The sequence below is a fragment of the Homo sapiens genome, chromosome 9 (genome assembly GCF_000001405.40).
Source record: "Homo sapiens chromosome 9, GRCh38.p14 Primary Assembly".
In the NCBI taxonomy this organism is placed as follows: domain Eukaryota; kingdom Metazoa; phylum Chordata; class Mammalia; order Primates; family Hominidae; genus Homo; species Homo sapiens.
The window spans coordinates 32717183-32744170 of record NC_000009.12 but is presented as its reverse complement, the minus strand read 5'-3'; the positions used below and the strand labels follow the sequence as shown (position 1 = coordinate 32744170).

At 43.0% G+C, this 26988-nt stretch overlaps 2 long non-coding RNA genes and 1 pseudogene across 8 annotated transcripts in view, besides 1 other annotated feature; 2 read left to right on the top strand and 1 right to left on the bottom strand.

Moving 5' to 3' along the window:
- The window catches only part of LOC105376016 (uncharacterized), a 28481-nt gene extending 23281 nt beyond the window's left edge, over positions 1-5200 (bottom strand). For both annotated transcript variants that reach the window (XR_929554.3, XR_929555.3), the window contains exons 1-2: positions 4954-5200; positions 756-831 (exon numbers count right to left, since the gene is read on the bottom strand). This is a non-coding gene — a long non-coding RNA (uncharacterized LOC105376016). The remainder of the gene's footprint in view (positions 1-755; positions 832-4953) is intronic.
- LOC105376017 (uncharacterized) overlaps positions 1-26988 on the top strand; it is a 104021-nt gene that overhangs the window by 39137 nt on the left and 37896 nt on the right. For 3 of the 6 annotated variants that reach the window (XR_929558.3, XR_929556.3, XR_929557.3), the window contains exon 5: positions 19750-20043. The exons of 2 other annotated variants lie outside the window; for them this stretch is intronic. This is a non-coding gene — a long non-coding RNA (uncharacterized LOC105376017). Of the gene's footprint in view, positions 1-8333; positions 8569-19749; positions 20044-26988 lie in introns of those variants that run through there. One more of the 6 variants, XR_929560.1, reaches the window with a different exon arrangement.
- Positions 14527-15028: an enhancer, noted in NCBI's record as "H3K4me1 hESC enhancer chr9:32729141-32729642 (GRCh37/hg19 assembly coordinates)". NCBI's record gives its function as "activates a minimal SCP1, AML or CMV promoter by ChIP-STARR-seq in naive H9 embryonic stem cells {active_cell/tissue: H9 hESC(naive)}" and the evidence as "EXISTENCE:reporter gene assay evidence [ECO:0000049][PMID:30033119]".
- RPS11P4 (ribosomal protein S11 pseudogene 4) lies at positions 16707-17105 on the top strand (annotated as a pseudogene).

Genomic DNA, 26988 nt, shown 5'->3' with positions numbered 1-26988 from the left:
CTAAACATTTTAATGTGTATCACGTGGAAGCAGAAATAAGCCTTGTTAGGAAACATCCTATCAGAGAAGGATTGCCTGCTTGGCTTCACCATTCTGGCTGAGCCCCAGACACCTAACTGTAATAGTGAAGTGTTGTGGGAAGTCAGGGACCCCGAATGGAGGGACTGGCTGAAGCCATGGCAGAAGAACATAAATTGTGAAGATTTCATGGACATTTATTTGTTCCCCAAATTAATACTTTTATAATTTCTTATGCCTGTCTTTACTGCAGTCTCTGAACATAAACTGTGAAGATAAGGGATGAAATACGCCCTGGTTTCCTGCAGCGCCCTCAGGCTTGCTAGGATTAGGAAATTCCAGCCTGGCAAATTCTAGTCAGACCGGTTGTCTGCTCTTGAACCCTGTTTCCTGTTAAGATGTTTATCAATGACAATGTGTGCACAGGGGGACATGGAACCTCATTAGTAATTCTAATTTTGCCCTGGCCTTGTGACCTTGCTCTGCCCTTCTGCCCTTGTGATATTTTATTGCCATTTGAACTGTGTCATCCCTGTGACCCACTCCCTATTCGTACACTCCTCCCCTTTTGAAATCCCTAATAAAAACTTGCTGGTTTTGCAGCTTGGGGGCATCAGGGAACCTGCTGGCATGTGATGTCACCCCCGGAGGCCCAGCTGTAAAATTTTTCTCTTTCGTACTCTTTCTCTTTGTTTCTCAGACAGGCCAACACTTAGGGAAAATAGAAAAGAACCTACATTGAAATATTGGGGGCTGGTTCTGCCGATGGTGAAGTAGGGTTTCCTCAGGTCAGGGGCCTCCATCTGATGGTACCTGAAGGGGATTTGGGATTTTATGAAGATATGAACAGGTTTATACAGAATGACCAAGCTCTGGGTCTTTAATTAGAACTTCACAAAACATCATATTGTGGGGGCAATTTTCAGTCACTTCTCATTAGGACACTAGTGACAACCCAGTAACCAAGGTCTAGATTATTTTCCTTCTTTTATGTTTGGGGACTCTTGTCCTGAAAGAACTTGCCCTGTACCATTGTATGCTGGATGTTTGAATCTTTCTTCAGTGTCCTTATTCCTCAATTCTTAATTCCTTATCTACAATCCTGTGAGAGTATCATCTTCAGATACTTCATAAATTCGCACCTCCCACTGTCCACCCCATACCGGTATTCTTAGTACGACGCAGCAGACACCTCTACGCCTCCACTAATGGGGATGGCCAGAAGTGGCCTCTGCTTTCTGTCCTTCCGGCCCAAGGGCTCTGTGTATTTTCTTGGACAACTGCCTTCTCTTTGTGGCATCAATGCCCTTCCCTTTCATCATGTCAATGGAGGAGGCATTTCAAACCTCTAGAGGGAAAGAGCCACTTTTTGTTAGAATATGAAGAGAAAACTAGTCTTGCATTTCCCGTTCACTGTGTGATATAATTAAACATCCCCCAGAAAGTGGGAAGCCTGGCTAACTTAAGAGCTTGCTGCTTAATCACTGTATGCTCAACTGTAAACCATGAGGCAGGAGTTCCTAACCTGCCTCCTGCTGATTGTCCTGGTTACCACTAGGCTTCCCCAACAGGCTGGACTGTTTAGTGACTGGACTTGTATCTGACGCCTAATGTAACCAATTCTATAGTTCTGCACTGCTTAAAATTGAATTCCACTAAAATGACATCAGAGACTGGGGCATTATGAAGGATTCCTGACAAAAGAAAATGAGATTTGACTGAAGCCTCCATGGTCTTTGACTCATGCTTAAATCACACCCAGTGCCTGCCCTCCCAGTTTGCATCCCATCAACCCAGCATTATTAGGAATTTCAGATCGTGGGATGAGTACTGAAAAAATGTGAACATTCCAGTTGTAGCTCTTTGCCCTGAACTTTGAAACCGAAGCATTCAGCATTGCTTCTTGCTCTTTCTTTGCCTTCTATTTGTCAAATGGACAAACTACACTAGGATGACCTGGTTTGGGACATGGAAATTATACCTGTCTATTCTGTAAGAAAGCCAAGTGGTTGGCTCAAATCATCCCACACAGGGTCTCCCTCATAAAGATTTTATTTCTACCAAGATATTCGAGAAGTACAGAAACCTTCCTTCTGCTGACTTGCAAATGTCATACCCTTCAGCAAAACAGAGCGTAAAGGTCCCTGACCAGGAGACTTCACAGGCTGGAAGTTTGAACTATTCCACTGCAGTTGGCAGGGAGCCCAGATGATGAAATCTGCACCCAAATGCCAATCTCACACAGTAGGAAACTTCAGGGAGAATGTACATAAAAAGGCATTTCTTTCGCAGCCCCTAATGAGTGCTTGTGGAGGCAAGAGGGAAACCACCGAGCTTAATGACTTCTGGTTGGGTAAGTTCCTGACACTGGGGAAGGCTCAGCCCATTGTTTGACATCACAGACTTATTCTACACAGGCCATCATTACCATTATCCAGGTGAACTACAAAGACAGAGCTTTGCATGCCTCATTTAATGCCTCATTTAAAGAAGAGTAGTTACAAGTATATGCATGGGTGTTTAAGAGAAGAATTGCAGTGTCTGAAGTGCTCACCCAGATAAAACCTAGATAGTCACCCTGCTGTGCATACACATAGTTCCAACTCTCTGGTGACTGCATTTCCCTCTCTGTTCTGGAGGAGAGTATGTAGCTGAATGTGATGGGACAAGCATAGACTCTGCAGCTAGTCACAGCAGCTCTGTGACTCAGTTACACCCTCACCTTGGCAAGTGATGTAACCTTTGTCAGCCTCCATTTCCTCATCTGTAAAATGGGGATAGTTATACCTTCCACACAGGATTGTTCCAAAATTTAAATGTATGAAAGAACAACTCCTGGCAAACAGTAGGAGTTAAGTGAACATAGCAGTTATTGTCACTGTTGTTTGGAGGGTTGGCATCCTCTTAATCTTCCCACACTTCTGCCTTGGCCCACAGAAGAGGCATTTTGGGCCGGGTGTGGTGGCTCACACCTGTAATCATAGCACTTTGGGAGGCTGAGATGGGCCCATTGCCTGAGCTCAGGAGTTTGAGACCAGCTTGGGCAACATGACAAAACCCCATCTCTATCAAAAATACAAAAAATTAGCCGGGCATAGTGGTGCACGCCTGTAGTCCCAGCTACTCAGGAGGCTAATGCAGGAGAATTGCTTGAGCCCGGGAAGGGGAGGCTGCAGCGAGCCAAGATTGTGCCACTGCACACTCCAGCCTGGGAGACAGAGTGAGACTCCATCTCAAAAAAAAAAAGAGGCATTTTGCTAGCAGCAGTCCTGGGGAGGAAACTTCCTTCCCGCTTCGTCCCCTCTTCACTTTCCTGTCAGGAACAACTTACCTGGTCAGGGATACTCACCAAGTATATGTTTCTGCTATTCTTGGCCCCATCTCTGAGGCCTAATCTCCCACAGCCATCCACATTTTTTTTTTTTTGCTTCACTTTTCCTTTTTTGTAAACAAATGATTTCAACCTGAAACTGCATCTGACACCATTGGTCTGGAGGCAGCCTAGAGGCTACTTTCTCTCTCTGATTCTGTTCTGCCATCTGTGGGTGTTGGGTGTTCTTTGATCCTCCACACATAAGTTGAGTAAGTGTCTACTCTGCAGACCCAACTGTTCCCATGTCAGACCCCCATGACCAGACCTGGAAGGAGGAAGCAGGAAGTCCCTGCCTGGACCACAGGAGTGAGCTTCAGTCTTAAATCCAGCTTTACTAGTATTAAAGCTGATACTATTTTGATCCTCATCTGGTTTCTTGCCTGTGTCTGTTCTCAATACCAGCGTCGGGTGGGAGTGTGATTAAATGAGCTCCCCCAAATTTCTAACGCCACTGTTAATAGTAGTAATATTAATCTATCCCCTTGGCATGTGACTGTCTGTTTTAATCTGTGGATTTGCTGACTGCCCCACAGTTCCTTCTGTAGCCTCTGGTATCCTTTTTTGGTTTTTCATACTTCAAGATATCACCTGAAGGAAGAGTTTCCTGGCTTGCCAGACTGGTTATAAAAATCCAGATAACAGAGATTCGTTTTTACTTTGGTCTTCAAGCCACTTGCCAGCAGAGCAAACTTAGAGTCTCGGATGACATGATAAAATATCTTTAATAAGCCAAGAATATTATGACTGTCATTTTGGTTGTAGCCTTGTCCAGTTGAAATGCACGGCTGGGCCTTTTATGCAGTCCTGAACAGTTGAATCCTACTCGATCAGGAGCAACTCAGGTATCAGCTTGACATTCTTGTCCCTATTTCATCACGGAGGGAGACGGCTTAGGCCTAGCCTAGGATTCAAAGGGACTCACAAAAGGGGCATTTAAATGCCACTCTGTTAATACCATCTTTGAGTTCTGAGTCTGACCGATGTATTGATACTTCATTGGTTTGGGTGGTCTTTGGAGGATTTTCTTTTTAGCAGGAATTCTTGACCCTTTAGGCCTATAAACAGACTGTCTCCAGTAATAACTTTGTCTCCCTGCTCAGATTCCCTTTCCCATCCAAGCCAAACTGTTAATAACCCACCAGCTTAGACTTCCTCCTTTACACCTCCCTTCCTGGCCCGCCAGTGTGCTCGCAAGATGAGTAGGGAGCCAGAACAGCCCCTGGCAAATGGGGAGAAAGCTGTTGGAAAGGGGTGCTGGAGGAAGGATTTGTGGGGAGGATTAGTGATGCGTGGCCATTGGACCCTGCAAGTGGGAAATGCTGTTCTGTGGCTGCACAAGACCTTCTTGGCACTCTGGCTCCCCAAAGGAAAGAGAAGAACCCCACTCTGAGAAGGAGGTCAGCCCTGTAGGATGGAGCCCTCTCCCTATGTTCTCCTAATCCTGCTCTGTTGAATTCTTGACTGAGTTCTATTGGGCTGTGAAGGTGTAACCTGGATTCATAAAATAATCCTGTCTGAATATGAGCCTGGGGCTGGGGAAAGGGTAGAGGAACTTCACCTACCATGAAGTGGTCTTCTTTATCCAAGGCTTAATAAGGCGACGTAGTTATTAAGATGTTCCTAGGACTAGCACAATCAGCATCACCCGACAACCTGTTAGAAAAGCAGATTATCAGGACCTACTCCAGACCTACCAAATCAGAAATTCTGGGCTTAGGTACCCCTGCAATCTGTGGTTTAACAAGCCCTGTAGGTGACTCTGAGGCACTCTAAAGTGTGAGAACCACTGGTCTAGTGAAATGGGTGAAACGTGACTCATGTTCTAGGTGAGTCACTGCCCAGGTGAATGGTGATTGGTTAATACAATTGCACACAAGTTCTATCCTTTAGAACCCCAGAAAAAGCTGGAGAATGAGAGATTCTACTGTGTGCTTGGATCTTCCCTTAAGGATGTTACTGCCAGTCCCACATTGGCCTAGATTCCTCAGGGACCAATTCTGTGCTGATCCCCTTTTTCAGAGGGAGTTGGCAGGGCCTTGCTGAGGCTTGTCCACTTTGGGGATATGCAGTCTTCTGACTCAGGACCTGCCTAGGGAATTGACTCTTTCCCAACCTGGAGGAGTCATATAGCTGGGTAGGACTCAACTCAGACTATTGTGAAAAGAGGGACCCCAAGAGGAGGAGGTGCATCCGATTTTTCCTGGATATTTCATGTAGCAGAAAGAATATGAGATTTGCGGCCAGGACAATGGAATTTATATTTTGAAACTGGCACTCACTAGCTGTGGAAACTTGTACCTCATCTCTCTGAGTCTCCATTTTCTTATCTGTATGATGAGAATAAGAATAATATCCAATTCCTAAGATGTTTGTGAGGATTAAATAAGATAATAAAAGTGAAATACTTGTATGTAAAATGCCTTGTGCCTATAGAAAGCTCAGTAAATGCTAAGCTGTTTTGTTGATAATTATCCTTCCAAGCTTCCAGGACTTTATTATGGGAGAAACCTGGGCAGCTCTGTGATAAGTGGACCACCAGCAAGACCCCATAAGCCCTCCCTATCTCTGTATACTTTCTTGTGGCTGATTCTTCACGTGAAGTTTCCCAACTATAATTACAGCCTAAGATAACAGGTCTCCACAAATTTCTCTCTCTTGCTTCTAGAGCAGACTATTTTATCCAAGGCTGCTGGGATTGTAGATGTAATTGATACTTAAATTAGCCCCTTGCATAAACATGTATCTCCCAATAAACTTTTTAGAATCGGAATAGGGGACCATCCAGAGATACTTTCATTTGTGTTACTCTTTCTATTTCAGGTGATTCTTAAGTTTTGATGGTTGGAGTAACTTGACTTCTGTTATTATCCAAAGCAGTATATTTCAACTGGGGGCAATGTCTAGAGACATTTCTGGTTTTCACAATGAGTGGGGGGTGCTGCTAGCATTAGATGGGTAGAGGCTGGAGATGCTGTTAAACAACCTACAATGCACCGTGCAGCCATCCCCAAGAAAGAATGATCTGGTCCAAAACAGTAGTAGTGCTGCTGTCGAGGAACCCTGATCTAAAGCAAGTTTGGGAAATATATTGAATTTTGGGGCTAATCCTAATCACTTGCTGTGTGTGCCTGGAGCACTGTATTTAGCAGGATTTTGCAGTTACATCTGGGTACTTGTGAGTGGCATGATTGTTTACAGATGTTCTTTGATTAGGGAACAGGAAAGAAGATAGGGGACTGGGTATTTCCCACACCAGGCCTGGAGCATTTTAAGCCTCACTTTCTACTCCAACCACCACTATCCATAGTGTCCACAGATTCCCAGGGAGGTGGTTGGGACTGAAGCTGTGTAAAATATCCCTTGTACTTCTTCAAAAACTCAAGGTCTTGAATAGGCTTTTCTTGGCCAATGAAGCGGAGACATTGCTCCCATATTGTGTGGTTAGTAATGCTTTCTTTAGTTCCTTTGGACCCGGAATTTCCCGAGGTAGGCAAATACCTCTATGAACCTGACACTCAGGTACCGTAGGAATTCTCAGGCCCTAATCTTGGGTATGAATTCATTCTAACTTAAGGGCTTCAACTAGAGCTTTCCCAAGCTTTTCTCAGAAGAATGATGAACTCTACCTTTGCAAAGATTATTGAGGAATAAATAACATCTGCCTGCAGGAACTGTGCTCTCTTCAGCTGGTTTTAGAAATAACAGATAAAATCCAAAGTAGACCTTTTTACCTCATTTGGGCTTAAGAAGGGAGTGAATGGAAAAGTTCTTTTTTGGAGCCCTCTAAAGTCCCACATGTCCCTGGCTGTGGATGGGACCATTCTTTCATAATCTGTGTTCCCACTACAGTACTTGTTCAGTCTGGATCATTAGACTTCAAACTGGTTTTATTTATTTTCTCAAACAATTATAATATTGATGGCAGATGTGAACATTGAATAAAAGCAGAACTTCCATGGTTGATATGGACATATTTCATATGTGTCAAAATGTCAGGAAAGGCTGGGTCCATCTGGGGACACTTCTAGTATCAAAGGCAGGTGCTGAGTGGCACAGGATGTGAGATGCCACAAGAAGAGTGATTGGCTGTGTCTCTTTCATACTGGGGGCAAAGCTTATACTTGTAGGTTTAATTCTTCTTTCTCCCTTGGTTCCTTGATGCTTATCAAAGGTTGAGGATTATTATGGTTATTCAAGAGGGTTAGTCTGGGAGGTAAAAAAAAAAGGTCACTAAGGGATGAATTTTCCTCTGTTTTTAAAACAGGAAAAGGTTGAACTATAACATCACTGTGCCATGTGGAGGGGGCTTAACCTGTATTATAAATCTTTGTAACTTTTGTTTATTTGAACTAAGTTAGAATTACTTGCTCCTATGATGTTGGCAAGATCTCATGGTATTTCCTAAGACTCTTCAAGCCAGGCTGGTCTCTGCAGTTCTGAGTTCTCCCAAGTTCTCCTTCCCACCCTCCTGGGGCTTTGCATATGTTAATAGAAACCATCCTGGCCCCGCATGTCATTTCAGGACCTGAAATGGATTGTTGTATTGAGTCTTTCGAGAAATAGACAATAGATTCAAATACAGAGGGAAAGAGGTCACCTGGTATTCCCTTGATACCCAGCAAACAGATTCTTGTGAGAAATAATACCATCAAATGAACTTTCAGGTTCTTCCTTGCTCTGATGTTCTACTATACTCCACCCAGTACTGTTAAGGAGAATAATTAAATTTTATAAGAGTGAAGAGACAAAAAGCAAAATATATACCTGCGTATTGGAATTGGGATAAATATTACTTATACTATTTATAATATTATCGTGTTAAACCCAATCAGAATAATAAAGTAAAAATAAAATTCCAGTTCTGAAATGTAGTATATGCCACAGAGAAAAACAGTCTTTTCCAGACTTTTTACACATGCATCCCCACAACCTTTTGTTCTAGGAGCCCAACTGTTGTATTTAGACTAAGATGCTCAAATATTCTGCTAAATGAAGCCACAGCTGCTCTGTCAGAAACATCACGTTAAAATGTGAAACGATTTGGCAATGTTCTGAGGACGACTTTCATTTCATGAGCTACAAAACCACTCTGGATGTCATGAGGACTTTGAGAAGCTCTTGCAGTTCTTGAAGAGGGGCCAGGAAAGCAGAGGCCAGCTGCAGCTGAGCAAAGTAGAATGGTGAAATGAAAATTGATTTTTTAAATTAAATTTTATTTATTTTTTCCACATGTTTCAAAGTCATTCACATGATTCAAAATTCTCAAGGTACAAAAAAAAAAAAAAAAAAAAGACACTGACATTTTCCTTCCTTCTCAGTCTCTCAACCATCCGGTTTCCCGACAAGCAACAGTGTTGACATTTTCCTGCAAATTTGCAGGTATATTTTATGCCTATTTCATGTTCTCCTACCTTTTTCCTCTACCTGTAGTAGTTAACCATACTTACTATAAGTGGTAACTCAGTATAGTTTAAATTGCATCTCTCTTATTATGAATGAAGTTGATTATGCTTTCTGATGTCTTGAGACATTTGTATTTCATTTCTTGTGGAGTGATAATTTTTGTTCATTTTTTTCTATTGCATTTTCAGACTTTTTTTCTTATTGATTAGTAGGAGTTCTTTTATACTAAGGAATTTACCCTTTCTCTGTGATATGAGCTATAAAAACTGTTTCCCCATTTTGTTGGCTTTCATTCATGTTGGGTTTTGCCATGTAAGATCTTTGATTTTTTTCTTTTTTTTTTTTATACATTAAGTTTTAGGGTACATGTGCACATTGTGCAGGTTAGTTACATATGTATACATGTGCCATGCTGGTGCACTGCACCCACTAACTCGTCATCTAGCATTAGGTATATCTCCCAATGCTATCCCTCCCCGCTCCCCCTGCCCCACAACAGTCCCCGGAGTGTGATATTCCCCTTCCTGTGTCCATGTGATCTCATTGTTCAATTCCCACCTATGAGTGAGAATATGCGGTGTTTGGTTTTTTGTTCTTGCGATAGTTTACTGAGAATGATGATTTCCAATTTCATCCATGTCCCTACAAAGGACATGAACTCATCATTTTTTATGGCTGCATAGTATTCCATGGTGTATATGTGCCACATTTTCTTAATCCAGTCTATCATTGTTGGACATTTGGCTTGGTTCCAAGTCTTTGCTATTGTGAATAATGCCACAATAAATATACGTGTGCATGTGTCTTTATAGCAGCATGATTTATAGTCCTTTGGGTATATACCCAGTAATGGGATGGCTGGGTCAAATGGTATTTCTAGTTCTAGATCCCTGAGGAATCGCCACACTGACTTCCACAATGGTTGAACTAATTTACAGTCCCACCAACAGTGTAAAACTGTTCCTATTTCTCCACATCCTCTCCAGCACCTGTTGTTTCCTGACTTTTTAATGATTGCCATTCTAACTGGTGTGAGATGGTATCTCATTGTGGTTTTGATTTGCATTTCTCTGATGGCCAGTGATGATGAGCATTTTTTCATGTGTTTTTTGGCTGCATAAATGTCTTCTTTTGAGAAGTGTCTGTTCATGTCCTCCGCCCACTTTTTGATGGGGTTGTTTGTTTTTTTCTTGTAAATTTGTTTGAGTTCATTGTAGATTCTGGACATTAGCCCTTTGTCAGATGAGTAGGTTGCGAAAATTTTCTGCCATTTTGTAGGTTGCCTGTTCACTCTGATGGTAGTTTCTTTTGCTGTGCGGAAGCTCTTTAGTTTAATTAGATCCCATTTGTCAATTTTGGCGTTTGTTGCCATTGCTTTTGGTGTTTTGGACATGAAGTCCTTGCCCATGCCTATGTCCTGAATGGTAATGCCTAGGTTTTCTTCTAGGGTTTTTATGGTTTTAGGTCTAATATTTAAGTCTTTAATCCATCTTGAATTGATTTTTGTATAAGGTGTAAGAAAGGGATCCAGTTTCAGCTTTCTACATATGGCTAGCCAGTTTTCCCAGCACCATTTATTAAATAGGGAATCCTTTCCCCATTGCTTGTTTTTCTCAGGTTTGTCAAAGATCAGATAGTTGTAGATATGCGGCGTTATTTCTGAGGGCTCTGTTCTGTTGCATTGATCTATATCTCTGTTTTGGTACCAGTACCATGCTGTTTTGGTTACTGTAGCCTTGTAGTATAGTTTGAAGTCAGGTAGTGTGATGCCTCCAGCTTTGTTCTTTTGCCTTAGGATTGACTTGGCGATGCGGGCTCTTTTTTGGTCCCATATGAACTTTAAAATAGTTTTTTCCAATTCTGTGAAGAAAGGCATTGGTAGCTTGATCGGGATGGCATTGAATCTGTAAATTACCTTGGGCAGTATGGCCATTTTCACGATATTGATTCTTCCTACCCATGAGCATGGAACGTTCTTCCATTTGCTTGTATCCTCTTTTATTTCCTGGAGCAGCGGTTTGTAGTTCTCCTTGAAGAGGTCCTTCACATCCCTTGTAAGTTGGATTCCTAGGTATTTTATTCTCTTTGAAGCAATTGTGAATGGGAATTCACTCATGATTTTGCTCTCTGTTTGTCTGTTGCTGGTGTATAAGAATGCTTGTGATTTTTGTACATTGATTTTGTATCCTGAGACTTTGCTGAAGTTGCTTATCAGCTTAAGGAGATTTTGGGCTGAGACAATGGGGCTTTCTAGATATACAATCATGTCGTCTGCAAACAGGGACAATTTGACTTCCTCTTTTCCTAATTGAATACCCTTTATTTCCTTCTCCTGCCTAATTGCCCTGGCCAGAACCTCCAACACTATATTGAATAGGAGTGGTGAGAGAGGGCATCCCTGTCTTGTGCCAGTTTTCAAAAGAAATGCTTCCAGTTTTTGCCCATTCAGTATGATATTGGCTGTGGGTTTGTCATAGATAGCTCTTATTATTTTGAAATACGTCCCATCAATACCTAATTTATTGAGAGTTTTTAGCATGAAGGGTTGTTGAATTTTGTCAAAGGCTTTTTCTGCATCTATTGAGATAATCATGTGGTTTTTGTCTTTGGCTCTGTTTATATGCTGGATTACATTTATTGATTTGCGTGTATTAAACCAGCCTTGCATCCCAGGGATGAAGCCCACTTGATCATGGTGGATAAGCTTTTTGATGTGCTGCTGGATTCGGTTTGCCAGTATTTTATTGCGGATTTTTGCATCAATGTTCATCAAGGATATTGGTCTAAAATTCTCTTTTGTTGTTGTGTCTCTGCCCGGCTTTGGTATCAGAATGATGCTGGCCTCATAAAATGAGTTAGGGAGGATTCCCTCTTTTTCTATTCATTGGAATAGTTTCAGAAGGAATGGTACCAGTTCCTCCTTGTACCTCTGGTAGAATTCAGCTGTGAATCCATCTGGTCCTGGACTCTTTTTGGTTGGTAAGCTATTGATTATTGCCACAATTTCAGAGCCTGTTATTGGTCTATTCAGAGATTCAACTTCTTCCTGGTTTAGACTTGGGAGGGTGTATGTGTCGAGGAATTTATCCATTTCTTCTAGATTTTCTAGTTTATTTGCGTAGAGGTGTTTGTAGTATTCTCTGATGGTAGTTTGTATTTCTGTGGGATCGGTGGTGATATCCCCTTTATCATTTTTTATTGCGTCTATTAGATTCTTCTCTCTTTTTTTCTTTATTAGTCTTGCTAGCGGTCTATCAATTTTGTTGATCCTTTCAAAAACCCAGCTCCTGGATTCATTAATTTTTTGAAGGGTTTTTTGTGTCTCTATTTCCTTCAGTTCTGCTCTGATTTTAGTTATTTCTTGCCTTCTGCTAGCTTTTGAATGTGTTTGCTCTTGCTTTTCTAGTTCTTTTAATTGTGATGTTAGGGTGTCAATTTTGGATCTTTCCTGCTTTCTCTTGTGGGCATTTAGTGCTATAAATTTCCCTCTACACACTGCTTTGAATGCGTCCCAGAGATTCTGGTATGTTGTGTCTTTGTTCTCGTTGGTTTCAAAGAACATCTTTATTTCTGCCTTCATTTCGTTATGTACCCAGTAGTCATTCAGGAGCAGGTTGTTCAGTTTCCATGTAGTTGAGCGGTTTTGAGTGAGATTCTTAATCCTGAGTTCTAGTTTGATTCCACTGTGGTCTGAGAGATAGTTTGTTATAATTTCTATTCTTTTACATTTGCTGAGGAGAGCTTTACTTCCAAGTATGTGGTCAATTTTGGAATAGGTGTGGTGTGGTGCTGAAAAGAATGTATATTCTGTTGATTTGGGGTGGAGAGTTCTGTAGATGTCTATTAGGTCTGCTTGGTTTAGAGCTGAGTTCAATTCCTGGATATCCTTGTTGACTTTCTGTCTCGTTGACCTGTCTAATGTTGACAGTGGATGTTAAAGTCTCCCATTATTAATGTATGGGAGTCTAAGTCTCTTTGTAGGTCACTCAGGACTTGCTTTATGAATCTTGGTGCTCCTGTATTGGGTGCATATATATTTAGGATAGTTAGCTCTTCTTGTTGAATTGAACCCTTTACCATTATGTAATGGCCTTTTTTGTCTCTTTTGATCTTTGTTGGTTTAAAGTCTGTTTTATCAGAGACTAGTATTGCAACCCCTGCCTTTTTTTGTTTTCCATTTGCTTGGTAGACCTTCCTCCATCCTTTTATTTTGAGCCTATGTGTGTCTCTGCACATGAGATGGGTTTCCTGAATACAGAACACTGATGGGTCTTGACTCTTTATCCAATTTGTCAGTCTGTGTCTTTTAATTGGAGCATTTAGTCCATTTACATTTAAAGTTAATATTGTTATGTGTGAATTTGATCCTGTCATGATGATTTAGCTGGTTATTTTGCTCGTTAGTTGATGCAGTTTCTTCCTAGTCTTGATGGTCTTTACATTTTGGCATGATTTTGCAGCGGCTGGTACCGGTTGTTCCTTTCCATGTTTAGCACTTCCTTCAGGAGCTCTTTTAGGGCAGGCCTGGTGGTGACAAAATCTCTCAACATTTGCTTCTCTGTAAAGTATTTTATTTCTCCTTCGCTTATGAAGCTTAGTTTGGCTGGACATGAAATTCTGGGTTGAAAATTCTTGTCTTTAAGAATGTTGAATATCGGCCCCCACTCTCTTCTGGCTTGTAGGGTTTCTGCCGAGAGATCCGCTGTTAGTCTGATGGGCTTCCCTTTGAGGGTAACCCGACCTTTCTCTCTGGCTGCCCTTAACATTTTTTCCTTCATTTCAACTTTGGTGAATCTGACAATTATGTGTCTTGCAGTTGCTCTTCTCGAGGAGTATCTTTGTGGCGTTCTCTGTATTTCCTGAATCTCAACATTGGCCTGCCTTGCTAGATTGGGGAAGTTCTCCTGGATAATATCCTGCAGAGTGTTTTCCAACTTGGTTCCATTCTCCCCATCACTTTCAGGTACACCAATCAGACATAGATTTGGTCTTTTCACATAGTCCCATATTTCTTGGAGGCTTTGCTCATTTCTTTTTATTCTTTTTTCTCTAAACTTCCCTTCTCGCTTCATTTCATTCATTTCATCTTCCATTGCTGATACCCTTTCTTCCAGTTGATCGCATCGGCTCCTGAGGCTTCTGCATTCTTCACGTAGTTCTCGAGCCTTGGTTTTCAGCTCCATCAGCTCCTTTAAGCACCTCTCTATATTGGTTATTCTAGTTATGTATTCTTCTAAATTTTTTTCAAAGTTTTCAACTTCTTTGCCTTTGGTTTGAATGTCCTCCCGTAGCTCAGAGTTATTTGATCGTCTGAAGCCTTCTTCTCTCAGTTCGTCAAAGTCATTCTCCGTCCAGCTTTGTTCCGTTGCTGGTGAGGAACTGCGTTCCTTTGGAGGAGGAGAGGCGCTCTGCTTTCTAGAGTTTCCAGTTTTTCTGTTCTGTTTTTTCCCCATCTTTGTGGTTTTATCTACTTTTGGTCTTTGATGATGGTGAGGTACAGATGGGTTTTTGGTGTGGATGTCCCTTCTGTTTGTTAGTTTTCCTTCTAACAGACAGGACCCTCAGCTGCAGGTCTGTTGGAATACCCTGCCATGTGAGGTGTCAGTGTGCCCCTGCTGGGGGGTGCCTCCCAGTTAGGCTGCTCGGGGGTCAGGGGTCAGGGACCCACTTGAGGAGGCAGTCTGCCCGTTCTCAGATCTCCAGCTGCGTGCTGGGAGAACCACTGCTCTCTTCAAAGCTGTCAGACAGGGACGTTTAAGTCTGCAGAGGTTACTGCTGTCTTTTTGTTTGTCTGTGCCCTGCCCCCAGAGGTGGAGCCTACAGAAGCAGGCAGGCCTCCTTGAGCTGTGGTGGGCTCCGCCCAGTTCGAGCTTCCCGGCTGCTTTGTTTACCTAATCAAGCCTGGGCAATGGCAGGCACTCCTCCCCCAGCCTCGCTGCTGCCTTGCCGTTTGATCTCAGACTGCTGTGCTAGCAATCAGTGAGACTCCGTGGGCGTAGGACCCTCCGAGCCAGGTGCGGGATATAATCTCATGGTGCGCCGTTTTTTAAGCCCGTTGGAAAAGCGCAGTATTCAGGTGGGAGTGACCCGATTTTCCAAGTGCCGTCCGTCACCCCTTTCTTTGACTCAGAAAGGGAACTCCCTGACCCCTTGTGCTTCCCAAATGAGGCAATGCCTCACCCTGCTTCGGCTCGTGCACGGTGCGCACACCCACTGACCTGCGCCCACTGTCTGGCACTCCCTAGTAAGATGAACCTGGTACCTCAGATGGAAATGCAGAAATCACCCGTCTTCTGCGTCGCTCACGCTGGGAGCTGTAGACCGGAGCTGTTCCTATTCGGCCATCTTGGCTCCTCCCCCTGACTTTTTTCTTAGTCAAGTTCATCATTCCTTTCTTTTATGGTTTCTGGGTTTTTATTGCAATTAGGCTTTTCCCCCTCCAAGATTATAAAACAATTATTCCATAATTTCTTCCAGTACTTTTATGATATCAGTTTTTATGCTTACATCTTTTGTCCATTTGGAATTTATTCTGGTGGTTGTGATTTCTATTGTTATGGTTTCTTTATAATTTGGTCCTGAAGTTACTCTCTTGAGAGTGGTTAAAAGCAAGGATAGAACTCTCTAGGAGAGCCCTGAGTAGGGAGAAAGTTAGGTTTGGGTGAGACACAATGAGGAGGTAAAGCCAGAGGGCATGAAAGAGAAGAAATGCATTACTCACAGGTCAGAGAGGCCACAGACACTGACAGGAGGCCTACAGGAGTCTGCAGGTGCTAGGAAGCTCAACCATGGTTAGGGAGTGGGTGCTTTTATTAATATCCATGGGTGTTATTCCTTGGGCTTTCCCACAACGTTTATGGATTAGCTAATTTAAAGAAAACACACAGGAAGGGGGACCTCATTTACATGACTCTGGTGTTGACCATTGGGATTTATTGTGGTCAGCAGCTGTGGGGTGTGTTGAGTTTTAGGTCGGTGAGATGAGGAACAAGTGGGCTATTTCGCAAACAACCATACAGGAAGGGGAAGTTTTAACCAGGCCAAAGGTAATTGGGTATGAGTAGTTTCAAATAATATGTCAAGCCTAAAAATGGATGCTGTTAAGTATGGATCTAACTTTATTTTTGTCTCAGTGGCTAACTCATATCCCAGTTCTATGCATTTACATGACTCATATTTTCCCCCCTGACTCCAGGTGCCTGTATATATTGGATCCATTTCTGGACATTGGATCCATATTCTATCCCACTGAGCTGTTGATTTGGCCATGTGACAGTACTATGCAGTTTTAGTTCTTATATTTTTATAATATGTTTTGACGTCTGGTGGTGACAGCTCCCCCCTTCTTTATTTCGTCACTATTTCTGTTTGTTGCTTCTTCCATCTAAACATTAGAATCATCTTGACTAGTTAAAACAATCCTGCTGGTATTTTTAATTTGTATTTTATTAAATGTCTTAGAGAGACTTGGCATATTATAACAGAGTCTTAGGACTGTATTATTAGAATGGTAAGGGCTTGATAAAGAAGGGGAAGAGAATAGATTACCCCCAATGTATTCACAGGAAGAATTGAAATGTAATCAGATCTGGGATGGTGGCTCATGCCTGTAATCCTAGCACTTTGGGAGGCCAAGGCAGGAGGATTACTTGAGCCCAGGAGTTTGAGACCAGCCTGGGAACATAGTGAGACCTTGTATCTACCCAAACAAATAAACAAACAAAAAAGAAGAGGGTCCCTGTCTCTACTAAAAATACAAAATTTAGCTGGATGTGGTGGCACACGCTTGTAGTCCCAGCTACTCAGGAGGCTGAGGCAGGAGAATCGCTTGAACCCGGGAGGCAGAGGTTGCAGTGAGCCAAGATTATGCCGCTGCGCTCCAGCCTGGTGACAGAGTGAGACTCCGCCTCAAAAAAAAAAAAAGAGGGACTTGCTGGGAGAAACTGGTGCTATAAGAACATCAGTCTGGGCTTCAGGACACCCAAAGAAGCCATTGAGGGAACCTATATGGACAAGAAATGTCCCTTCACTGGTAATGTCTCCATCTGAAGGCAGATCCTGTCTGGTGAGGGGTCCAAGATGAAGATGGAGAGGACCACTGTCATCCACTAGGATTATCTCTGCTACATGTACAAGTACAGTTGCTCCAAGAAGTGCCATAAGAATGTGTCCGTGAGCCTGTCCTCCTGCTTCAGGGAAGTCTAGGTTGGCATATCATCGTGGGTGAGTGCTAGTCCCCGAGCAAGACCCTGTACTGCAGTACGCTCAAGTCACCAAGACTGCCAGCACCAAGAAGCAATTCCAGAAGTTCTGGGACTGGATGTCTGCCCACTCCCCAAAATGAAATAAAGTTATTTTCTCATTAAAAAAATGTTTGATAAACACTGTCCACTGTATTGTCCCTTGGAGATTTACAATGAACAGTAGCCAATAAAGACTTTGAGACATTGTCCAGGAAAGATACCTAATTACCTCTGTTTACTATGTGGCTTCCCAAACGTGTTTCACCATGGAGTCCTCTCTCCAAATACTATCTCTTAATATTACACAGTACACTCAGGAAAGCTCAGTTTGGAGACCTTCAGGGCCAACTGCAGGTATTTGAAAGAGATTTTCTGAATGTAAGGTCCTTCCAATGCTGACATTCATTGATTCTAAGGATTAATGAGCTCAGAATCTAGGAAACAGTACTTGGAAAGTTATTACTGAATCCTTAAGTGCATCCCCTCTGGGACAACAGGTGATCAAATACCATTTTCCATTTTCCACTATTATACTCCTATGTGAATTCACTAAAATGGAATAAACTTGCATGTTTCATGCCATTTATTCATTCACTTGGCTCTTATTAAGTGCCTACTATGTGCTGGACCCTGCCTGGTCCTCTTTCATGAGTGAGGAGGGGCCTCTACACCAGGGCGAGAGGGCCTGGGAAACTGAGCCTCTGGGCTCCCCTCTTGCCTCATAGTTCCTCCTCCTCATGTTCACTTTGAGGTATATTTTTCTAAGAGCAATCCCCCTGGAAACTGTCTTGTTCTGTGTGGGAAAATTATCATCCTGGGTCTCTGGCAACAAGCACTATTTGTGTTCCTGGATATGACTGTGACATAGAAGTCTGACTGCAGGCAGGTTGAAGCAGCAGGAAAAAGAGAAAGGAATTCCTGCAAGTGGTAGGGCCTCAATTTAAAACACACATATTTCATTGATATCATTTGCACATGAAAAAGGCACAAAGGTAACTGAAGAAAAGTGCAGAAAAAGAGCAAGCGTTCCTGTGCTTTTCAAAATCATCTTCAGCCGGGCGCGGTGGCTCACGCCTGCAATCCCAGCAATTTGGGAGGCCAAGGCAGGCAGATTGCTTGAGCCCAGGAGTTCGAGGCTAGCCTGGGCAACTGGGGAAACCCTGTCTCTACAAAAAATACAAAAATTAGCCAGGCTTGGTGGTGCGTGCCTGTAGTCCCAGCTACTTGGGACGCTGAGGTAGGAGGATCGCTCGAGCCTGGGAGGTGGAGGTTGCAGTGAGCTGTGATCACGCCGCTGTACTCCAGCTTGGGCAACAGAGCAAGACCCTGTCTCAAAACAAAATAAGACAAAATTATCTGCTTTGGCAGTAATCTTCCTCTATTATGAAATCTCTTTGAAATAAGTACAGGGAAAATGATTAGAGGCAGCATCACACAGAGGCTACGCATCTGGCTTGACTAGCTGGGTGACTCAACACTAAGACTCCTCTTGGCCCTGAGATGCTGGAATAACCACCTTTACCAAAGACTTCAGATCTCATGGTCAACATTAATTGCAATGCAAGGTTTGTCTTTGGTTTTGATGTGCTTCCATGTTCTTGATATGAATTTATAAGTGTGTGTGTGTGTGTGTGTGTGTGTGTGTGTTTGTGTGTAGTGGTTCTCTTCTCTTATCAAAAGACATTCTGGACAGATTAAAAATAGCAGATGACTACCATCTTTATGATGCTGTCTCAGGGTCAGCCACGTAGCCAGGGGGAGGGAGAGGGAAGTGGGTCACTCTCTACTCCTCTTCTACCTGCTTCAACCATAGCATCTTTGCTGTTGCTTTTTAAAAAGTCTGTTTTGCATACCGAGGTTCTATATTAGGTGTGGTTTGAAGAAAGTGATTTGTCGTTTGCTGCTAAATCAGAATATTTAGAAACCACAAACTTAAGCTCTCTCAGTTTGTAAACAGTCTCAGAAATGTTATGTAATTTTTCTCATAGTCACACAGCTATTAATAGTTGGTAGAGGCCAGCACAGTGGCTCACGCCTGTAATCCCAGCACTCTGGGAGTCTGAGGCAGGCGGATCATGAGGTCAAGAGATCGAGACCATCCTGGCCAACATGGCAAAACCCAGTCTCTACTAAAAGTACAAAAATTTGGTGGGCATGGTGGTGCGCGCCTGTTGTCCCAGCTACTCGGGAGGCTGAGAATCAAGTGATTCTCCTATCACTTGAACCTGGGAAGTGGAGGTTGCAGTGAGCTGAGATTGTGCCACTGCACTCCAGCCTGGCAACAGACTGTCTCAAAAAAAAAAAAAGAAAAAAAATTGTTGGTAGAAAAATTGGGATGCTGCTGTCAGAGGCATTTTGCCAACCAACATATTTTGAAGCTTGATTGTGTATAAGGTCCTGTACAAGGCACTGCATAGAAATACAAAGATGACTATCTCACAGCACTCATAGTAATTTAGGGAAGATATGGAAAACATACACGAAAGAATTCATAGGAAAAAATGTGTGGCAGTCTGTATTTTCTGAAAATGTCTACAGCAAAATTTCTGTAGAACTTTGCCATTCTTCATTAAGAAGTGGAATCTATTTCCCCTGCCGTTGAACCTGGGCAGGCTTGGGAAGCTCCAGCCAAATAAATGCAGCAGAACTGGTAAGGCTAAATTAAAAGAGGCAATACAGTTCTCACACGGCACGCATTCTCTCTCTCTTAAGATGTTCAGCCTCAGAACGTAGCCACCTTGCTGTGAGAAAGCCCAACCATCTTGTACAGCGAGACCACATGGAGAGGCGCATGTGGAAAGGAACGGAGGCTACAAGCCGATAGCCAGCATCGACTGCCAGGCACGGAGAGTGAGTCTTCAGATGAATCCAGCCTCAGCCTAGAGTCTTTTGTCTCAGGCCCCAGACACTGTGGAGCAGGGACAAGCCATCCCCACTGTGTCCCACCCGCATTCCTGATCCACAGAATCTATGAGCACAATAAATAGTTGCTTTATGGCAGAGAAACTGGAACAGAGTGATTCTATCTGGGTGTTCATGGACAATGTAATGAACTGTGGGAGCAAGTGCTGTGAACTGCCTGGAATGTTTTCCTCCCACCTGCTTTCTCGTGTAACAATCCAGCCTCCTTGGCCTGGCTAATGATAATACTCTATTCCCTTGGGCTCTGTGGTTAGGGCAGGGATAAGCACATGACCCAAACAGGGCTCATCAGAGTCTTTCCTGGGATGATAAATGAACAATGACAGAGAAGGGGGAGGGTGTCTTATACTTCTGAGCCTGTTGGGCTGGGGGAGATAATGTAAAATGAAAGAGTTAGAGAGAAAATTCTAGTTGCATTAATCCCTAGGGTTCCCGCAGCCATCCCTCGGAACATGTAGGCCACCCCAGTATTCTTTCCAACCACTGAAACTAATACATTTTCTTTTACATACGTTAGATTTCTGTCCCTTTCCTCTAAGAACTCTGCCTGATTTAAAGGCTTTGTGGAGAATATGGCATTTGAACAAGGCCTTGGATGATGGTAGGGTATTGACATTCTGACATGGGGAAGGGGTTTTGGAAGGAGGGGACCGTGTCCACGGAGGCAGAGCAGTGCAGCAGCTGAAAGCATTAACTCCAAATGCCAGCTCCACTTCTTACTTAGAGAACTTGGACTTTACCTCATCAGACTGCAGTTTTCTCAACTGTTAAGTAAAATAGCATCTAAGACATGGAGTTATTGTTAGGATTAAGAGACACCCATAACCCATATTAGCTCTGAGTGTGGTGCATGTTGTTTAGTTGGTGGCTACCGTGCAGGACACAGCGTGTGGATGAGGAGCAGCACATGGCAGGAGTCTGGCCGAGAAAAAGCTGATTCAAGAAATGGAGTTGGATTGTGGGGACCTGGAATGCTCGACTGTGTTAGATGCAGTGAGGAGCATGGGCGTTTTATTAGCAGAAATGAACACAGATGTGAATACATGTGCCTCCCATATAGAAATCGAGTTTTGATAACAGAAATTCCATTTCAGTGCAGCATCAGCAGTATAGCCTTGCTAGTATACATAGTATATTTCAATGTACTTGTGAGTGAGGTTTGTTCCAAAAGTACATGGACCCAGATGACAGATGTTCTCCATTCTCTGCACGTGGAAGCACAGGCTCTGCTTTTACTCCGTGCAGATGTGACCTGGATGCATATGTCAGTTTCTCTTTGATTACCGTGAAGGACTGACTCATACGGAAGCATTGATGAGCAAATGTACACTCTATTAGAGGGTTTCATAGTGACAGTGTCAGTGCTGTATCAGATCTCAGCTCTACTTTTACTGTCTTGTGCTCTGCCCCTGCCCGTGTGGCTTCTCACAATCAGCATCTGCAACTCGTCTTCAGAGGGCTGCCCTCAGGCTATTGGAGCCCCCTTTCCTCTATAAAAGGGAGCGGGAAGTGCTTAGGAATTTATTCCCCTCCCCTCCTCATCGTTGGCCCATGCTAGTGTGACTATATGAAAGCCCAGCTCTCTTACCTCTGGTTGGGACAACTCTAAGGTGTAACTCACACTCTTGACTTCCCTGATATGATCAGACCGAAGGTCTTGACTGTGATCGAACTTTTGTTTGACTTTTTATCCTTCTCTGTCTTGTTTTCCCCACTCCTTCACTCATCTCCCTTGGGAGCACACCTTAATAAACCCCCTGCACATGGGCTTGGGATCCACTTCTGGGAAACAGTTTTCTAGGGCAGGTGGAAGGAGGAGTTTACTTACGTACATCCTACAGGAAATAACTTCAAAGTCACCTTAGACATCTCAGCTTGCCTACTCTGCTAAGGTATGAAATTTTCCATCTTTCTTTTCTTGTGTACAAAACCTCACTTTATTGATTCATACCTCTCTCCCTGCATCCTCCATTCCTAGTTGCAAATTCTCATCCCTTTATTTTGCAGAACAGCTCTACCTCAGCAATCGTCCAAACCGCCAAGACATGACACTTACAGAACTTTGAAATCAGCAAGACTGTCTCTCCTTAGCAGTTTAGAGACCATCTTTTATCATAAGACCATGCATCTTGGGGTCTTACCCTTACCTAATCTGGGTGACTTACCAACGTATCCACATACCGTGTTCCCTCCGAGAGGAATTATTTTACCAGCTGGGCTAATAACATTTTTACCCTCCCATTTTAAATGTCTGTTTGTTTGCATCCATCCATCACCTGATCCATCCATCCATCCATCCATCCATCTATCCATCCAACTCTGTCTCTATTTATCTGTCTGTCTAAATAGGACAGTATAAACATTTTCTCACTAGTCTGCAACATGTATTTCCTAGGCTTTAGATTTATCCACACTTCAAAAAAGGGGGTCACTGGAATGATTTGAAGATGGAAAAGCTTTTTCGGGGTGGAAGAAGAGCTTTGTAAGCAGGAAAGTGTGGCATGGGCAGAAGGGGCTGACATGGAGTTTCCAAGTTGTTTTATCCCCAGACCCTGCAGCTGAGATCTGTATGGCCTGTTTGTTTTCACCGCCCCAGAAGTTCTGCTCCAAGCAACTTGATCTAAACCTACTGCAGCATGGTTCTAAGACCTTTCATGGGAAGCTGACGGCTGCTGGTGCAAACTAATGAGTATTTTCAGACACAAAGCCTCCAATTGAGATTATGAAGTAATTTATTAGGCTCCTACTGCAGTGAGCACACACCGTTCCTGCTCAGAATGGACTAATTAAAAACTTCCCTACCACGTACAATTTCAACTGTGCTGGAAAAAAAGGAACAATACCTCAGTGGTAATTTTTCATAAAAAGGAATTGATAACAATTTCTAAAAAAAATTAGTAGGAGCCTTATATTGCTTAAATAGACAAAACTATCATCTGTGTGTTTTGGTGTGTAATGCGGAGTGCTATTGTCGGTGCAGAATAGATCTAATTTCCCACCTCTAACTCTGATGTGATGCTTTCCCTGAGTTTAACTGAAACAAAAGTAAGAGTCAGTATTCCTAGTTGTAGAGAACAACTGAGTTGAAAGGCGATTTCATTTTGGGGGTGATGGTAGTCATATAACCCCAACAGCCCTAGATGTTCTGGGCTCAGGAGTCCTTTAATAGCCAAATATCCAACATCTGAGCTACTAGTATTCTACCAAGATAGCCTCTCCAGGGTACCCTGGGAACTTCTCAGGAACCTTACACATTTCAAAATTCACCCAGGTTGTTGCTTGTCACCTTGGCCTGACATCAGGCCTCTAACTGTAGTAACTTTTTATCTGTGTTAAAACTCAGACTGTTATAAATGACCTGGGCACTGTTTTATCCAAACAAGAATGTTAAAACAATTTTTACCAAGCCTCCGGCATCCCCATTCACATTTGCCCACTGCATGACACTGAGATCTCTACAGCCTTATGCAGCCCATTCTGGACCTGTTTGAGAACCACACCTGCATCTTGATGATTCAAAACCAGAAAAGTAACAAAAGTAAAAAGAGGTTTTATGATCCATTTTGAACCATTCAGAAACTTGGGAAGAACTTCCCCTTCTCCATACTGTATCTACTCTTTTCACTTTCAGTTTGGGGAACACTCACTGACTTTTCTTAAGAAACTTGATTGTCTAGGATAAATAGCTAATGTATGCAGGGCTTAATACATAGGTGATGGGTTGACAGGTGCAGCAAACCACCATGGCACACATTTACCTGTGCAACAAACCTGCACATCCTGCACATATATCCCGGAACTTAAAAAATAAAATAAAATTTAAAGAAATAAATGATTTTTAAAATAAAATAAATCATTTAAACAGCAAAAAAAAAAAAAAAAAGGAAAAAGAAAGAAACTTAATTCTCCTTTGCCTGGTGCGTAATAAACTCAGCTTCAATTTGAGACTACATTGGTAGTCTTTGTGTTGATTCAGTGACAGTGGACACTGGTTGCTGTATTAATTACCCAAATCTCAACCAAGATGGGGCTGGTACATTTAAAAAAGCTTTACTGAAGAATGGGGTAACAGGAGGAATGACACAGTCAGGGTGCCGTAAAACTGGACACCACGTGTGTCTTTTCTCTGGTCCTCTGGTCATGCTCTTCCACAGGGAACACCTCCTGGTGCTGGATCCCCTCACAACCAGCCTGAGGCCTTGCAGGGGCTCATTTGCTTCCCTACAATAGGAGTGCTTTTACGAGTTCCTGCCTATCACAGATCCAGAGCCCCACTCCACTAACACCCAGGGGAACACTCCATTTCTCCTCATCTCAGTCTACCGCCAGTCTCCCAGTAGTATAGTAATCCTGGGAATGCCTCTGTATCATCAATAAAGACTACCCTTACGTTCCATGCAGAGCAGTTGAGCCCTGATTGCCTCTAAAAACTTTCCATTGCAATTGAAGATGATAGCCTCATGTTTGCATAAGGGGTCATTAAAGTTTTCCAGACACAAGAAACAATGTTCCCTCAGAGGTGAATCTAAGCCTCCATTTTTAAAGAACTAGAAAAACTGTTGATTTTTTTTTTAAATCCCTCTCCCTCCCTTCTGTCCTCTCTTTTTCTCTTTCTCCCGCCCACCACCCCCGCCCAACACACACACACTTTGGAGTCTAGTTGAGAGCATCTATCTATTTATACCTACAAAGACTCATTTGCTTGTACCATGTGCCAGGCACAGTACCCAGAACAGAGGAGGCAGAGAGAAATAATCCTTGCCCTCAGGAAGCTCATGGTGTAATAGGGGATCCCCAGTGACAATTGGGGGATAAGAACAATAGAAGGCTGGGTGTGGTGGCACACACCTATAATCCCGGAGGATTGCTCCCAGGAGTTTGAGCACCCTGGGCCACATGGTGAGACATCGTCTTTACAAAAAATAAAATTAGCCAGGTGTACTGGTATGTGCCTGTAGTCCCAACTACTAGGGAGGCCAAGGTGGGAGGATTGCTTGAGCCCCAGGAGGTTGAGGCTGAGCTCGTGCCACTGCACTCCAGCCTGGGCAACAGAGCAGGACCCTGTCTCATATAAAAACAAAGCAAAACAAAACAAAATAGAACAATAGAAAATTGGCATATAAGATGCAGAAACAACAAGGAGCAGGTAAGTCAGAAAAGGCTTCCAGGAAGAGGCTGCCTGTGAGTGAGTTTTAAAGCACAAATAAGAATTATTTGAATTATAAGAAGTTATGAGATGGATGAAGTGGGGAAAGATTTCAGGCAGTGGAAACAAAGGCAAAGATATGGCAACAAGAAATAGGATGCTACTAATTACTAGGGTTGGGTAAGCCTAAAGTGCAGGTTCAATGCAGGGGGAGTGGGAGGATCTGAACCCTCTAAGGATGCTGGATTTTATTTCCCAGATGATGAGGAAAACTTGAAGCATTTTCGTAGGGTGGTGGTGACACGATCAGAGTCGTGTTTTAGATCCCACGGACAGAACCTCCACTTCTGGTTGGAGGCTGTTAAACTGCAGGCGAGGATACCAATCAGAAAAATAGTCCAAGTGAGAGGCGCGGAGGCCTCAGTGGTGGCTGCAGGAAAGAAAGGGAAAAAAGAGTTGTGAGGACTCTTTGAGAGGTTCAATCAGTGGGATTTGTTCTCTGATTTAATGTGGAGGGTGAAGGAAAAGGAATCCAATGGGACAGCAGTGTTTCTGATGGGCGGTGCCACCAGCTAAAACCTGGAGCCCATGGAGGGAAGCAGGTGATTTGGGAGGGAAAGCGGTGGAGGAGAGGGGTGGAGAAGGGGGGGTGGGAGCTTTGCCAAACGATGAATTCTGGTTTGGGAATGTCATGAATCTAATTTCTTGCCTGACTTCTGAAGATGACTGGTTAGTAGTTGCACATATAGGTATGAAATTCAGCAGTCATGTATGGACTGATGATAGAGACTTTAGGGGCTAATTATAATCATTAAAGGGTATTTTACATTCCAAGGAGGAGTGTAGAGTGAGAAGAGAAAGGATAAAGGGCTGACTATAGAATCCTGAGATATGACACCTTCATTTTTATAATTTTTACAGCATCTCTGCCTTTATATTATTTATTTAGAATATTTGGCAAATAATACAAGGGAAAGCTAATCCATCTGTAAACTAGACGCTTTTCAGATAAAGCAAATCAGCTTGAGATACCAGACAAGCACATATCAGTGTTCAGTAAATATTTTTTGAATGCATCAGGATGAATACTCATTTTGCTCAGTTTTATAGGAAGCACCCTGAGAGGAGGGCAGCACCTGTGCTTTAATTTGCAGGAGCATGAATAGTACCAATGAGTGATGGCCACAGTGCTGCGTAAGAAGGTTAGAAGACAGAAGCAGCATGTACTCTAACCATAGCAACGAGACGGGGGCAGCAGCATCCAGAAAGTTATAGATCTCTTCTGAAGAATGTTTGCTGCCATGAACCCTTACAACTAAGCAGCAACAATATCCCTTTTTTCTGAATAGTAGAAGAATGACTTTGGTGATATGAAGGAAGGGGCGTTGGTGGCAGTAAAGTATGCATTGATTTCTTTATAAGATAAAGAACAAGGCACAGCCACTCTAGACCGTTTGACAAAGACCAAATCCTACTCTTCCACAGATTTCTGTGTATTCACCCAAATTATCTCCAGTGCCTCTGGTGTCCCACAGAAACACCCATGTTTTGTAGTTTAACCTAAGCTGCGATCTAGAATTCACACCAAAACCCACAGTATGAAATAGAACACTTCCATTCACAGGGACTCGATGGTCATGAAAATGTGTAGTGAGCAGCTAGCTCAGCTCCAGAGGCTGTGAAAACCAAAGAGTTGGAGAGATCCTTCTGACAGCCTTGCCAGGCAAGATTGGAGCTTTCCAGCCTCTGTAAAACACAATCTGGCATCCCACACTCTCACAGCATTTCTGATTTAAAGTTGGCTTCATTGCTAGAGGCTGGTATTGCCAAACATCATTTCTGTCCCAGAGCTCAGCTGCCGGACAGAAATGACCCTTTACAAA